This window comes from Homo sapiens, chromosome 4 (assembly GCF_000001405.40).
Source record: "Homo sapiens chromosome 4, GRCh38.p14 Primary Assembly".
NCBI classification, from domain to species: domain Eukaryota; kingdom Metazoa; phylum Chordata; class Mammalia; order Primates; family Hominidae; genus Homo; species Homo sapiens.
Window position 1 is genome coordinate 7,473,776 of NC_000004.12, and position 15,058 is coordinate 7,488,833.

At 57.0% G+C, this 15,058-nt stretch overlaps 1 protein-coding gene across 8 annotated transcripts in view, besides 1 other annotated feature; it reads left to right on the forward strand.

Moving 5' to 3' along the window:
• The window catches only part of SORCS2 (sortilin related VPS10 domain containing receptor 2), a 550,290-nt gene that overhangs the window by 281,238 nt on the left and 253,994 nt on the right, over window positions 1-15,058 (forward strand). The window lies entirely within an intron of this gene.
• Window positions 12,347-13,217: an enhancer, noted in NCBI's record as "H3K4me1 hESC enhancer chr4:7487849-7488719 (GRCh37/hg19 assembly coordinates)". NCBI's record gives its function as "activates a minimal SCP1, AML or CMV promoter by ChIP-STARR-seq in primed H9 embryonic stem cells {active_cell/tissue: H9 hESC(primed)}" and the evidence as "EXISTENCE:reporter gene assay evidence [ECO:0000049][PMID:30033119]".

The following is a 15,058-nucleotide window of genomic DNA, read 5'->3' on the forward strand; positions in this document are numbered from 1 at the left end:
ATGGGGTCACCAGGGACCCGGAGGCTGGTGCAGTCACTGCTAGGCAGGATTGAAGAGGCCTGGCTCTGGCGGGGTCTGGGGGGAGAGGGGTTCCCCATGCCCACTTCACCTCCTTCCAGTGCATTCTGCACACAGCAGCCAGAGGGTGTTTCAAAAGTAGCTCATTGGTGATGTCGTTACCCAGCTTTAAAAACTTCATCCGGTGTCCTCTGCTGCACCCATCTGAAGCTCCTAATGAAGCTCTGTGCCTTGGCATGTGCTGAGATGCCCCATGTCTGCTCCCTGGTCGGTTGATGGCCTCCCCCTCAGAGCTGGGGACTCTGTGGTTGTCTTTGCTCACCCCCGTGTCTCCAGGGCCTCCCAGAGCCTGGCACCTGCTCAGCGCTCAGTAGATGGGTGTTGGATGAATGAATGAGTGGATGGATGAATTAATGAATGAATGTGGGAAGGGCCAGATTTGAAAATGGGTTGGAGGCAACATCTCCAGAAACAGCAGGCTGGGCAGTGAGGTCAGCGGGCAGAGCCCCCTCTGCGGTTGGCTCTGCCTGAGTGGCTCCTGTCCCCTCTCCAGCCTCTCTTTATGGCCTGATGGGCTGACAGGCATCCCTCCCTTCAATGTCAGGGAGCTCTTATGCAAATGTCAAAACCCCACTCTTCAGATATTGGACACGTCTTTACCAGGTGAAGACTCTGGGCCAGCCCTAGGGCTGATGTCCGCAGCACGGTCCCTGGCTGCAGGAGGGCATGGGCCAGCAGGGGGCTCGGAGCAAGTGTCACAGAGTCCCCAGCTCTGTGAATTCTGCATGGGGTGCTGGGTGGGCCCAGTTCGGAAGCCCAGTCCACAGTGTCACCAAGAAGGTAGCTGGGAACAGAGTCAGCAGATGAGGGGGAGTGTGGACAAACACCCTGGGGAGCCTCGTGGAGCGAGACTGGGGTCTGGAAGTTCCAGAAGTCTCTGTCTTTGCTTCCTGGGGCTGCTATAATAAACGACTGCCAGCTGGGAGCTTAAAGCAACAGACATTTATCCTCTACAGCTCTGGGAGCCCGAAGCCCGGAACCAGGGGGTCTGCAGGGCCAGGCTCCCTCTATGGGCTCCTGGGGAGTTCCCTTCTGGCTGTCCCACCTCCTGGTGGCCCTGGCAGTCTGTGGCTTACAGACTCCTCCCCCAGTCACTGTCTCCATCTTCACATGACTGTCCCTGCTGTGTGTGTCTTTGTCCACATGACTTTCTTATAAGGACACCCAGCCTTGGACTTAGGGCCCACTCTGGCCTCCTCTTAACTTGGTTCCATCTGCAAAGACCCTGTTTCCATTTGCCAATGCCAGGGGTAAGGCCTTAAACATACCTTTTAGGGGCACCCGATTCCACCAAAAACATTCCTTTGAGAAGTGGATCCTTATGGCTGGAGGTTGGGGGCATAGGGTGCCGCCGTGCCTGGGACTTGGCAGGTGGAAAGTCCCAGGCAGGAAGGAAGGACCTGGAAGACAGGCCAAGGAGTGGCAACAGTGGGGACTATGGAGAGCTGGTCATGGTGGGAAGACAAGGGCAGATCAGTGTGTGGAACACCTGCCACAAGGGTGAGGGGGCGAGCAAGGAGGAAGTCCAAGTGTGAGGAGGCCCGGATGCCTCTGAGGTCCATCCTGCATGTGGTAGGCTCGGCCGGCCCCCCGAGGGCCTGAGAAACCTCCCTGTGCAGCAGCCACAGGAGTGTCCCAGCCTGGGAGCAGAGCAAGCAGGAGGCTGAGACAGAGCATGGCCAGCCCAGCTGCCCCCCTCCTGCCACTTGTCTCCCAGGGAACCCAGGATCCTGGAGCCCCTTCCCTGTGGCTGCAGACATGAAGAATACATCTGAAGAGGAATCAGAACTCGTGACTGTGTGTGCACCTGTACATGTGCATACATGCACTCATGCATGTTCATGTTCACACACAACACACATACACACACATGCACATATACATGACCCCTGCTCCCCGCTCTTACTGTGGTGCTGTGGTCTGGGGCCTGGCCCAGGCCTTTGGAAGACTGCATGTCCAGTGACAGACTCAAAGTCAGAGAATGCACTCAGGCCAGGCCTCCATCATCTGAAGATACCACTCTGAAGGACACTGGGTTCTTGGATCTGGTGCCACTGTCGTCCATGTTCTTGTCCCTTCGGCTGTGACGAAGGACTCCAGTCTCCTTGGCTGGGGCTGGGGGCTTCCCTCGGCTGCCTAGGAGAGTGAGTGGGCACTGTGGGCCCAAGCGGAAGGAAGACAGGCAGGGGCTGAAGGCTCTCGCTGGCCTATACCCAGGCGCTTCTCTCTCCTGAGAGCCACAGGCTGGTGGGCTCAGCCATGTGCCAGCCCGTGTGCTCCAGGAAAACAGAATCATAGGACATGGATGGTTAGGAAGGATAGCCAGGAAGCTAGAGGACAGGTACTCAAGGAGAGATACAGATGGAGGGAAGTCGATAGACAGATATACACATAGACACAGATTGATACATTTAAGAACTTGGCTCATGCAATTGTTGGGGTTTATAAGTCAGGAACCTGTAGGTCAGGCCTGCAGGCTGGTAACTGAGGCAGGAGTGGGTGCAGCCCACGTCTGACTGGGGCTGGCTGGGCAGAGTTTCTTCTTCTCTGGGATGTGTCGGTGTTTGCTCTCAATGCCTTCAATGGATTGGATAAGGCCTCATGTTATTTTGGGTGGTCTCCTTTACCAAAGTCCTCCATAGCAGCGCCTGGATGACTGCTTGATTGGATCACTGGGAACCATAGCCTAGACAGGTTGACACATAAAACCTGTCACCTTTCTCTGCCAATAAAGGTGACACAGACCTTTTCCTGATGAAAAGCCAAGTAGAAAATGCCCCCAAGAGGAACAGCACTGGGCCAGCAGTCCCCAAGTCAGCAGGGCGGCCATGCCTCCTGCTAGGAGTCCCTCTCCAATCATGAACCCTCTCTTGCCACACCTCTCTAAGCAGGGACATGGCCCAGCACCTGCTCCACGCTCTCCCTCTGCTTCCATTTTCTCCACGACTCTGGTCATCATTTGACATCCTATCCCACCAGCATTGCCTACTGTCTGTGTCTCTTACTAGAAGGGGCAGGTCTTCCTTAGACAGCCAGGTTCAAATCTCCAACTCAGTGCTATGTGGTCTAAGAAACTCACACCTGCTGAGCTCCCTTGCTGTCCAGGCAAATTCCCCAAGGCGCTCTGAACTTATTGACCTCCTTTATGTCACCCCCAGGGCCCCAGCTGCAGACACGGCCAGGTTCTGACTCCTCCCACTCAAGGCCTTGCAGCTGTCAGTGACCTCAGTGGAGGAGAAACAGCCCACAGGGTTCCACCTGGGCCGTGGGGAGGGGGCTCTGTGGGGCTGAGTCCGTGGCAGGGCAGTGCTGTGGACAGGTCTCTAGATAAGACGTGGCCTCCGGCACCAAGGCAGGTCCAAATCTTGGGAATAGCCTGAGTCATTCAGAGTCATCCTTCTGGCTATGGGGACAGCTTCTAGGACAGACTCATGGATAACAGTGGGGTCTGACTGAGGATGACCATGGCTGACTGGGGCTGTCCAGGACTGACCACAGCTGACTGGGGCTGACCGTGGCTGACCGTGGCTGATTGGGGCTGACATGGCTGACTGGGGCTGACCGTGGCTGATCGGGGCTGACCATGGCTGACTGGGGCTGACCAAGGGCAAGGGCCTCCTGAGGAGAACAGAGCGGCCCAGTGAGCTGGCTCCCATTCCAGATCCAGTGCTCTTCAAGCCTGCACATGCTCAAAGTTGGATTGGCTAAGAGCTCTGCAAAGCCGGGGTCTGAGGCTCCCCTCTGCTTGTCTGACCCCCAGAGCAAAGCTCAGTGTCAAGAACTGGAGTCTATTCCCGAGGGGGCACAGAAGGCGGGAGGACATGGATGGAGACAAATGGCCGTGAGATGAGATTTCCTGTCCCACTGCATGGAGCCCAGTGAAGCCGGAGAGAAAATGTGTGTAGGAACATGAAGATCCATCCCAGAATTCTGTCTCCAAATGAGTGAGACAAGCGTGGAACAGACTGGGCTTAATTGCTGGATGACCTGGGCCACTTTCCCTTCCAGAGTCCCCGAGTAGAGGGTGGTGGCCATTGCACCCATTTCACAGTGAGGTAAACTGATGCACAAAGTCATCGTGTTGGCTATCGCGCACACCTGCCCTCAGATGTGTGTCTCAGAATGGTGCCTGGGACATTTCTTCCTGCTTCTAGGCTGCTGGAGCCCCAGGGCCCATCCCCAGCCACCGGGGGCCTCTTGAGCCCTTAGAAAGTTAGACACAGGGTGTGGCAAAGGGACAGTGTGTTAAGCAGCCCCTCCAGAGGCTGGGGTCCCGCAGCAGACCACCCATAACGGGAGCCATTTGCCCAGTGAGGCAGTTTGAAAAAGGCCGGGCGTGTAGGGTGCAGTGAGTATGCAGTGATGTGGGCGCTGCAGGCAGGAGGAAGGTGAAACACTCAGCCTGCGAAGGAGGCTCGCTTCCTTTCAGGGGCTATGGGCAGCCCAGGAGACCCCTCCCCATGGTCTGCGTCACCAGCTCCCCCTCCTCCAGGGCTTTGTTGAAATGTGCCTTCCAGGTGAGGCCTCCCACACCCCCTTATTTAAAAGAGTACCGCCACCCCCACCGTCCCCACCCGTACCTCAGCTGCCTCTCTTTCCTGGCCCCGACCCCTGCTGAACCCTGTAATTCAGCTATTCACTGTCCATTACTCTTTCCCTTGAGGCAGGGGTAGAGTCTGTCATGTTCTCCGCTGAGTCTCCAGAGCTAGGACAGAGCCTGGCGCCTGGCAGCCCCCACTGCCTTTTCCCCAATGATTGAGCCATGTGGACCTCCCCCTGCTCTGACCTGGTCACCACTGTATCCCCTGAACTTTGCACACGGCTTCCTGAGTGTGGGTGCCCGATCAATATTTGACCAATGAATGAGAGTGTCTATAACATGGAGACAGTGGTGTGGGGGTTCCTGCTTTCTGTGATCACTGGGAAGGGGACAGAGTGGGCACATGGCATAGGCACTCGGCCCATGACAGGGGAGACCTCTCACACAGCTGGGCACCGAGGCCTGGGTCGGGGACCCTTCGGCTCTGTGTTGGCAGGGGGCCTCGGCCAAGTCACTCAAAGCCTCCGTGGCCTGGTTTCTCCTCTCCTGACGGGCTCTCCTGATAGCTTTGTGTCACCTAATAAAAATGACTTCCGAGGGTTCCCCACGAGCCTCCAGGGTCAAAGCTTCTCTAGAAGGATTCACAGAAGTCTGATAAGCTGTGTTCCTCATGGCAATGGCTCATTACCAGGAAAGGTTACAGGTTAGGATCAGTAAAGGGAGAAAGGCACACAGGGCAGAGTCGGGAGGAGCCAAACGCCAGCAGCCAGCTGCCCTCTCTCTCGGTGGACTTCTGTGGGTGCCGTTTCCTTCTCTGGGCGAGGGTATGTGACCGCACACAGGACACAGGACATGTTGCTAACCAGGGAAGCTCAGCTGAGCCTCAATGTCTGGGCCTTTCCCTGGGCTGAGCCACATCAGTGTGGCTCACTCTCCACGTGCCGCCCTGAGCCTCCAGCCCTCCCTCCAGAGGCCAAGCTGAGACCACGTGCCCTAAAGCCCCCAGATAAACAAACCTGCTCCAATTAGACAGGACATCCTAAGGCTTAGAGGTCATCTCCCAGAAGACAATCAAGGGCCAAACCTTTCTTTGCAATGTGCAGAGTTTGGACAACCCAGCCCTGAGGCATTAGCCCCTTCTGCACACCGCTGCCAGGGAGAGGGCTCTGCGCTGGAGCCCCCTACCCCTGCTGTGCATGCTTGGCTTGGCAGGGCTTGGGCCTCTGCTGGGCTCCCCTCGTTCCTTGTTCAGGGCCTGGCAATGTTTGCATCGGGGGGCCGTGTCCCTCTTCTCCTCCTCTCCATGAGGTCTTGGGACAGGCCCCAGGACGCTGAGCCCCAACTCTGCATGGTTCTAGGATACAGATGCTCTGCAAATGAATGTGAATGTGAATGTCCAGTGGTGGGTGCAGTGAGCAGAGTCAGCCTCTCACTCTCTGACTCCCCATTTTAATGAGCAATTATTTGGTACCCACGTGTGCTCTGTTAGGACTGGGGATGCTGCGATGCACAAGAAAGAGGCAGCCCTGTCCTCCGGGCTCAGTGTCCAGCCCTGGGCGCCATTTATTCCGTGACACCTGGTAGTGAATGCTGCTGGGAGAAGCTCAGGGTCTGCTTAGGCACCTGCCAGCCTCGCCATGTGGCTGAGCCTGAGCTGAGTCTGACCTATGAGCTGAACTCCTCCTTTGGGCAGGAAGCCCCCTTCTGCGTGCTGCAGATGGGTCAGGGTGGGCCTGGAGTGGAGCGGCTGTGGCTCACAGGGGTCTGAAGTGTGGTGGTATTCTGGGCTTTGCCCTGAAGCAGGGACATGTCTGTGACCAGGTGTTGAGCCCGAGAGTCTCTGATGGCACGTGGGCTTTGGAGTGACTGCAGCGTCTGGGACTGTGTGCAGAGAGGATGGATGCTGGTGCTTGAGAGAGGCCTGTGGCTGCATTATTTAGACTAGAGATGGACATGGAGAAGTGACATTCCCAAACTCTTCCAGCCACTCCTTCCCCTCTGGTACCCACAGAGCCAGCACAGCAATTCACAAAAATACAGCCCGGGGGGTTGGAGGAACCTGACCCACTGCAGGTGGGAGACCATGCTCTGAAGCTGGGCAGCGTGCTGGGAGTGCAGGCTGTGTTCAGAACAGGCACCCGCCAAGGGGGCGACTGGAGGGGACCCAGCCCTCGCTCCACCCTCAGGCTGCTGTTGGCCTCAACAGAGTGAGGAAACAGTTCCACCTGCCACAGTGAAACTGGGATGGCAGGTGCCCCGGGTAGCCCAGAGCCGCGGCCAGAACCATGTGTGATATTGCGGTGGTTGTGAGTCCACCTGGAGTTGTGGGGAGGGCGCTGACCGTGCAGACGCATCCCCTCCACCCGCCCCAGGCTCCCCAGCTCGCCAGGGCCGCAGGCCGGTGCCTTGGAGGCTTGGCTGGGACAGGAGTGGAGAGCAGGTGTACCCCACAGCGTGGCCTCCCTGGGTGGGTTCACAGTCTTGATATTTCATTGACGAAATGAGTGTTCCCTTTTCTGGAGAAACAGGTGATATGTGGGGTTTTTAGGAAGAAAAACAGAAAAGATAGGCCTGTGAGGTGACAGGAGAGGTGGCGAAATCCTGAGGGGCTTCTCCTCCTAGACCGACTGTCCTCCCTTTTCTTTGAAATCAAGAGAGCCCATCTGACTCCTGCTAAGTAGCCCTAAGAGGCATTCTAGTGGCCCTGCCTGGAGGGCCCTGTGAGCCAAGCCTTGGCCACACATGGCATCCTCTTTACCCAGCATGCACCTGAGTGGGAGCCACAGACTTTCCTGAGTGGCAGGTGTGGCAAGGACACAGCGTCTGCGACCCTGAGAACAGGAGCGTGCGCTCCTCTTACAGAATGAATAGTCCACTCATTGTGCTCACCACACAGGGGTCTTCGCTGCACAGGGATGGCACAGCCCCGGGAGGGAGCTAGGGCACAAGAATGCTGCCAGGCAGGGCTGGGCTCGGTCAGCAGGGAAGGAAAGAGCTGGGTGGTGGGATTCTGCCTGGAGAACGGTGGCCTCTAGGCGGAGGTCGGCCGGGAGGCCCAGGAAACCTGGGTGGCATCTGGGGAGATCTGGACATGTGGAGTCGGCATCCGGCAGGGATCAAGGGCTCTGGAGAGTTTGGAGAGGTCGGGGGAGCCGAGAGGGATGGTCCTGAATGTAACGTTGACCATTGGTGAGCCAGAGAGGAGTCTGCTGAGGCTCTGCCTGTCCATATTTGAAAGTTTAACTTTGGGCCAGCACTCAGGGGCTTCCCTGGAGCCGTAGGGAAGGGTCTCCTGAGCCTCGGTGGTGGGGAGGGCACTACTGAGAAACTGACATCCTTGTGGGAACACAGAGCTGGGTGTCCTGGAGAGAACCCAGGGAAATGCTGGATGCTGCCAGAACAGAGGAGGGTGTGCCCAGCAACGAGAGAGAACGCTGGCAACGGCGACCTTTGTCACGCTGGATGGTTCTGCCTCTCCCCGCTCATCCACCTGACGCCGTTCAGACCTGTATCCCCACTGCGGACACCCCTGACGTTGTTCAGACCTGTATCCCCACTGCGGACACCCCTGACGCTGTTCAGACCTGTATCCCCACTGCGGACACCCCTGGCTGCTGTTCAGACCTGTATCCCCACTGCGGACACCCCTGACGCCGTTCAGACCTGTATCCCCACCGTGGACACCCCTGGCTACTGTTCAGACCTGTATCCCCACTGCGGACACCCCTGACGCTGTTCAGACCTGTATCCCCGCTGCGGACACCCCTGACGCTGTTCAGACCTGTATCCCCACTGCGGACACCCCTGACGCTGTTCAGACCTGTATCCCCGCTGCGGACACCCCTGACGCTGTTCAGACCTGTATCCCCGCTGCGGACACCCCTGACGCCGTTCAGACCTGTATCCCCACTGCGGACACCCCTGGCTGCTGTTCAGACCTGTATCCCCACTGCGGACACCCCTGACGCCGTTCAGACCTGTATCCCCACCGCGGACACCCCTGGCTACTGTTCAGACCTGTATCCCCACTGCGGACACCCCTGACGCTGTTCAGACCTGTATCCCCGCTGCGGACACCCCTGACGCTGTTCAGACCTGTATCCCCACCGCGGACACCCCTGACGCTGTTCAGACCTGTATCCCCACTGCGGACACCCCTGACGCTGTTCAGACCTGTATCCCCACTGCGGACACCCCTGGCTGCTGTTCAGACCTGTATCCCCACTGCGGACACCCCTGACGCTGTTTAGACCTGTATCCCCGCTGCGGACACCCCTGGCTGCAGTTCAGACCTGTATCCCCACTGCGGACACCCCTGACGCTGTTCAGACCTGTATCCCCGCTGCGGACACCCCTGACGCTGTTCAGACCTGTATCCCCGCTGCGGACACCCCTGGCTGCTGTTCAGACCTGTATCCCCACTGCGGACACCCCTGGCTGCTGTTCAGACCTGTATCCCCGCCGCGGACACCCCTGGCTGCTGTGGTGGGCTGGAGAGGCTCCCTCTGAAATTCACACCACTCAGAACCTCAGAAAGGGACCTTCTTTGGAAGTAGGGTCTTTGTGGATGGAATTAAGGGCAGGTCCTACTGGAGCAGGGTGGGCCCTAAATCCTATGACTGATGTCCTTATGAAAAAAAGGAGAGGCCGGGCGCGGTGGCTCGTGCCTGTAATCCCAGCACTTTGGGAGGCTGAGACGGGGGGATCATGAGGTCAGGAGATCGAGACCATCCTGGCTAACACGGTGAAACCCCGTCTCTACTAAACAAAATACAAAAAATTAGCCAGGCTTGGTGGCGGGCACCTGTAGTCCCAGCTACTCGGGAGGCTGAGGCAGGAGGATGGCGTGAACCCGGGAGACGGAGGTTGAAGTGAACCGAGATTGGGCCACTGCATTCCAGCCTGGGTGACAGAGCGAGACTCCATCTCAAAAAAAAAAAAAAAAAAGACAGTGAGGAGAAAGCCACGTGACGGATGAAGTGGGCAGAGAGTAGCGTGAGGCAGCTGCCAGCCAAAGAACGCAGGAGTTTGCCCACCATGCCAGATGCTAAAAGAAAAGCATGAACAGACTCTGTCCTGGAGCCTTTGGGAGGCACGTGGTACTGTTGACGCCTCGATTTGGGACTTCCATCTCCTGAACTGAGAGAATAAATGCCTACTGTTTATAAGCCACACTGTGCGGGGTGCTTTGTTATGGCAGCCTGAGGGACGGAAAAAAGCACCTACTGTACATGGGGTCCCAGGCCAGCAATGCCCACGTGTCTTCCAAGGGGCTTACAACGTCCTGGGAGGGAGTATTCCTGTGTTTCCGTACCCTCTTGGGAAACTGAGGCCAAAAGAATTAGAGTCTCCAGGGGGTGGGGGGCCAGGGGAGGGAGAGCATTACGACAAATACCTAATGAATGCAGGGCTTAAATCCTAGATGACGGGTTGATGGGTGCAGCAAACCACCATGGCACATGTATACCTATGTAACAAACCTGCACGTTCTGCACATGTATCCCAGAACTTAAAGTGAAAAAACAAACAAACAAAAAACCAAACAAAAACAAAAACGAGTCTTTCAGAAAGTAGCCGATTCAAAATTCAAATGCACGTCTTCAAAGCCCAGGCTCTCCTGTATCTACAGATGTTATTTTCTGACTTACTTTCTTCGAGCATTTAAGTGTTTTTACCTCTCTTTGCTTGCCTGGTGTTTCCTAGAAAACACAGTGCAATAAGTATCAACATATGATGGGAGGCAGCTTAAAGTTATCCATCCCAGCGGTCCCGGTAATCTACTCTCAAAAACCTTCCCACAGCTCGCGTCCCTGCGCCGGCAGATCGCCGCTGAGTCTGAACGTATTTTCCGAGGTGATCGATTTAGGTGTGCTGAGAATTACATCTCTGTCTTCCCACAAAAGGCCACTGTATCTGTCACCCGACTTTTACATTTTCACATTTCTTCATTTGGAGAACCAAAGTAACCTGCGTGGTATCAAGTTTATCTTCCTCCTATTTTATGAATTCCTTTGTCACAGGGCCCAGCCGGAGCGGCCTGCTGGGGATCAAGGTGGTGTTGCCGTGGGAAGGAACGCTGTCCAGGGAAGCCAGTCTCTAGCAAGATTTGTGGAACAGAGAGGAGGCCGGGCTTATAAGGATAGAAAGGGCTTTGGGCAGAAGGTGCTGACTCCAGTGTGGAAATACCAGGAACAGGAAGGCCTCTGCACCTGGGGAGCTCTGCAAGCAATTCCTCTCCTTTCTAACCTCCTCCGTTCTGATCCCAGTTTAAAAGCTAAAAAACAAAATGATCCTCTCTTTAGAGAACTCTGAGCTGGGCGGGCATTTACAAGTTAAACGACAGCCTGAGGCCATCTTCACAACACACACCACCTCCTGCACCCAGCCCTCCTGCACCCAGCCTCCCTCCTGCACCCAGCCCCGCTCCTGTACCCAGCCTGCCTCCTCCACGCAGCCCACCTCCTCCATGCGGCCTGTCTCCTGCATCCAGCCCACCTCCTCCACACAGCCTGCCTCCTTAAGGCCTCCTGGCTTTCCTTCTTTTTCATTTATTTGCACCCCTGTGCGTTGCCTGCTGTCCCGGCCCTCCCCAACATGTCAGGACTTCTGGCTGATTCCTGCAGGGCAGACTGTCTGTTCATCCTCAGGGGGCGTTTGTTGAGTGAATGAACAAGAGATGTAGGAGTCTGGTCACCTGTCCTGTGCCCACACACCCTCCTGAGGGTCTCACTCCACACGGCACACACTCCCACTTTCGTTTGCTCACCTTCCAGGACATCACAGCCCTCCTGGGGCTCCTGCAGCCTTCGGTCCCCAGATGAGATCCAGGTCTGGTCTAAGCCAGCATGCCCCTCCCATCGCCCTGGGCAGCTGTGTCTCAGTCACTCAGACTCCACATTACCAGGAGCATGCTGCTTAGGGTGGATAGTTCCCAGGCAGAGCCCCTGGGCCATCCCAGCCAAGGCCCCGGAGTTGCCTCCACAACTATCCCGTCACACCAGGGCTGGCTCAGGCTCTGCTGAGGCTACTCCACCCACACCAGGTTGGCTCTGTGGGCCCCACCCCTCACCTGGAGCCCCAGGGCCCCCTGCCGGGCCTCATGTCTGCCTTTGGGGCCCCATGGGAAGCCATCTCCTCTAGCTTCTCCCTGGCGGCTCTTGTTATTTGATATCAACAACACACTCTTGTTATTTTTCCTAACAATGGAAAACACGGGAAGGAAACGGAGGTTGTGGGGTCGGGTGGCTTCAGGTTGTACCGGCCAGGCCGTGTGGACCCAGCAGAGGGTGGGAGCTGAGGCTCAGGCCTGGCACCCCTAGAAGGGCAGCTTCCCTGGGGGTGGCTAGATGCAGCTAGCAGGTGCCCACTGTGGGCCCAGGGGAGCCCGATGAGGCTCCCAGTGGCAGGAGGGAGAGACGTGTGGAGGGAGGATGCCAGGGTGAAAGGAACCTGGGAGAGAAAGGACTGAGTAGGGAGGCTCAGGGCGGGTAGACAGGCTCTGGGATGTGGCACCATGGGGCTTCCTCTGTGCTGGCCACAGGGAAATGCCCTAAACCCAGCGGGCTGGGGGCACCCCATGCCTGCATCCTGGCACCCTCACTGTGGTGGCCTGTTAGCTTGAGCCTGACATCAGGCCCTGCATACCGAAGCCCACGGATGTCACCCACAGCACAGCCTGGGGATGGCAACTCCAGACTGAAGCGTCCCTTTGTCTCTGTTGGTTGCTGGAGCCCCTCGTGCGCGTGACAGGGACCTGCAGCACCTGCCTCCTGAGGCCTCTCCCATAGGTTCTTCTGCTGTTGGGAACAAGCCCCGTCCAGTGGAGGGGGGCCCTCCAGTGGCCCTGCCCTCCTGTCCCAGGTCACAGCCCAACCTGAGGGCTGGCCCACAGTCAGCTGGGTCCTCACTGCTGCTGTTGGAGCGCCCGCAGGCCGGCTGGGCCACTATTTGCAGAACCAGGTGGACAGATGGAGGGGTCTTCCAGCCTCCACCACACACGGGGCAGGATGCGGCCTCCACGACCCCCTGGCCCTGGACAGGGTCACTGGGCCTGAGTCCCGTGTCTTGCAAGAAGGTCCCATTCAGGGACCCTGATGCCTGTTCCTGCGGGACCCGAGGCTGAGCTATCTCCTTGTACCCCAGCTGAGAGCGCTGATAATGTGGAGCCTGCGGTAGCTTCCCGGGGCTGCCAGAACAGATGACCCCAGACCTGACTGCTTCAAACAGTAGAGAATTATTCTCTCCCAGAAGCCTGGAAGTCGGAAATCACGGTGTCTGCAAGGCATGCTCCCCCTGGAGCCTCCAAAGGAGGATCCCTCCTGGCTCTTCCGGCTTCTAGTGGCTCCAGGTGTGCGTGCCCCCAGCCTCTACAGCTGCCCTCCCATGGTGTTTTCTTCCTGGATCATCTCGTCTGTCTCTCGTGAGGACACATGTGCTTGGATTTAGAGCCCACTTGGATAGTCCATGATATAATCTCATCATTAAGATCTTTAACTTAATTACATCTGCTAAGATCCTTTCTCCAAATAAGGTCACATTCAGAAACTCTGATTGGGATGTGGACAGGTCTTTTGGGTGGGTCACTATTCAACCCTCTACCGACCTCAGCGGGAAGCGGCTGCATTTGCAGGCTGCCTGTCTACGGGGTGTTCCCAGCCCCAGTGCAGCCCTGTCTCCTACCTCTCCGAGGGCCAGCCCTGCAGAGCACAAAGCCCACCCTCCCGGGTGGTAACGATGTGACTCACCCTCCATGTGCGTGCTCAGGGGACCCCTGCAGGACCCCTCCCTGCACCAAGAAGCCCACCCTAAGGAGATCTGCAAAGCCACTGGCATTGATCAGCTATGGAAGCCTTCTCTGGGTAATAAATCGAAGTTCTGTTTTCACAAGCTGTCTGTTACATTCCCTTGGCCCACAGTCACCAGAGGATCCTGAAGTGGGCTGTGTTATCCCCATCCTACAGCAGAAGGGGTGGCTCCTGGATAAGGCTGTGACTCCCTGTTGGGGAGTGGGGCCCAGACCTCCACTTCCCCCTCCCCTTGTCTGGGCTGCCCTCAGAATTGTCTCTAGCATGGACACCAGGGTGGTGGCTTGTTGAATGCAATGTAAATTGTAAGGAAAAATATGACATGGAGCTCTTTAAATTCTCTCTCCTTTGCCTGCACTAGAGAGAGCGCGCTGCATGCACCTGGCCTCTGCACTTCTACCATCTGGGGATCACCAGCCTGCAGGGCAGCTGCATGCTAATCTCAGCTTCCCCTAGACTCACGTAGCGGTGATAGACGGGGCCTCTTCTGAGGACCTCAGAGCCGCCTTGGTGGGACTTGGCTCCCCCGCCTCCAGCCCCATGCTGCCTGGCCATCCTCTTCTCTGCATCTCTTTCTCTCAATTAATCCCCAGCAGCTACGGTACCGAGGGCTCTGGCTGTGTGCTCTCTGCGCTTTAATTAGGGGTCACTGTGAACAGTATTATTTCCCAGGCTTGCCATGATTCTATTAAAATTTTCTTTTGTAGACATCAGGCATAGCCTGATGTCTACAAAGGAACGAAGGAAGCAGGAATCCGGGGCAGAGCCGCTCGCTCATCAGCAAGTGCTGGGCTTTCTTCCCTGTCACCGCCTCCAGGAGCGTAGCCCTGCGATGGCCAGTAGGTTTCAGCATTTAAGGTAATGCGCATCTCCCGGTACCTGAGCCCTGTGCTAGGAGAGGTTCGGAAATTAAGGCAATCTTGGCAGCCAGGAGTGTGGTCATCAACTAGTGACCAGTCTGCCATGGTCTCAGGCAAGGGCCAGGCTCCCGTGGGCCGGCTGTCTGCTCTCCCCTGTCAAGTCCTTCAGTTCTGCTGTCCTGTTTTGCAGTTGCCAAGGCATTGTTTCCAGCCCAGAAAAGCTCAATGAGGTTCAGAAAGCGGCCGCAGTTGTGCAGTCTGTGGAGAGAGTCCTGCTCCTGACAAACAGAGGACTCTGAGCTGGGTCAAGGGCTGAGATCCTGGGGATCAGCCTCAGTCTCAGGCTGAGGGATGAGGTCAGAGAAGGAGCACTTGTCCCCATGAGCGCCGCCTGGCTACTGCATGTGGTGCAGGTGCCCCCTCTACCTGGGCTCGACACACCCACTCTTGCTGGTGCAGACCCTGCCTCCTGCAGACCCTCTACCACATTTCCCAGAGCATCCTCCACAGCGACTTTCCCAGACCTTCCCTGCCTCTGTCCCCAGGACCTCCTTCCACTCACCAGGACAGGAACGGCCATCTCATTGACAGATGTGGAAATGGGGGATCCATGAGGTGGAGGGACCCATGAGTGTCTCAGCCAAGACGGGCACGTGTCCGTCACTGGCCATGGCAGACATGGCCGCCCTATTGTCCGCAGTCAAATACATCCTGACTGCTTCCTGTTGCTCCTGTCTTCTGAGCACTTGGATGAGATGAGATCCTTGCATCTTAAA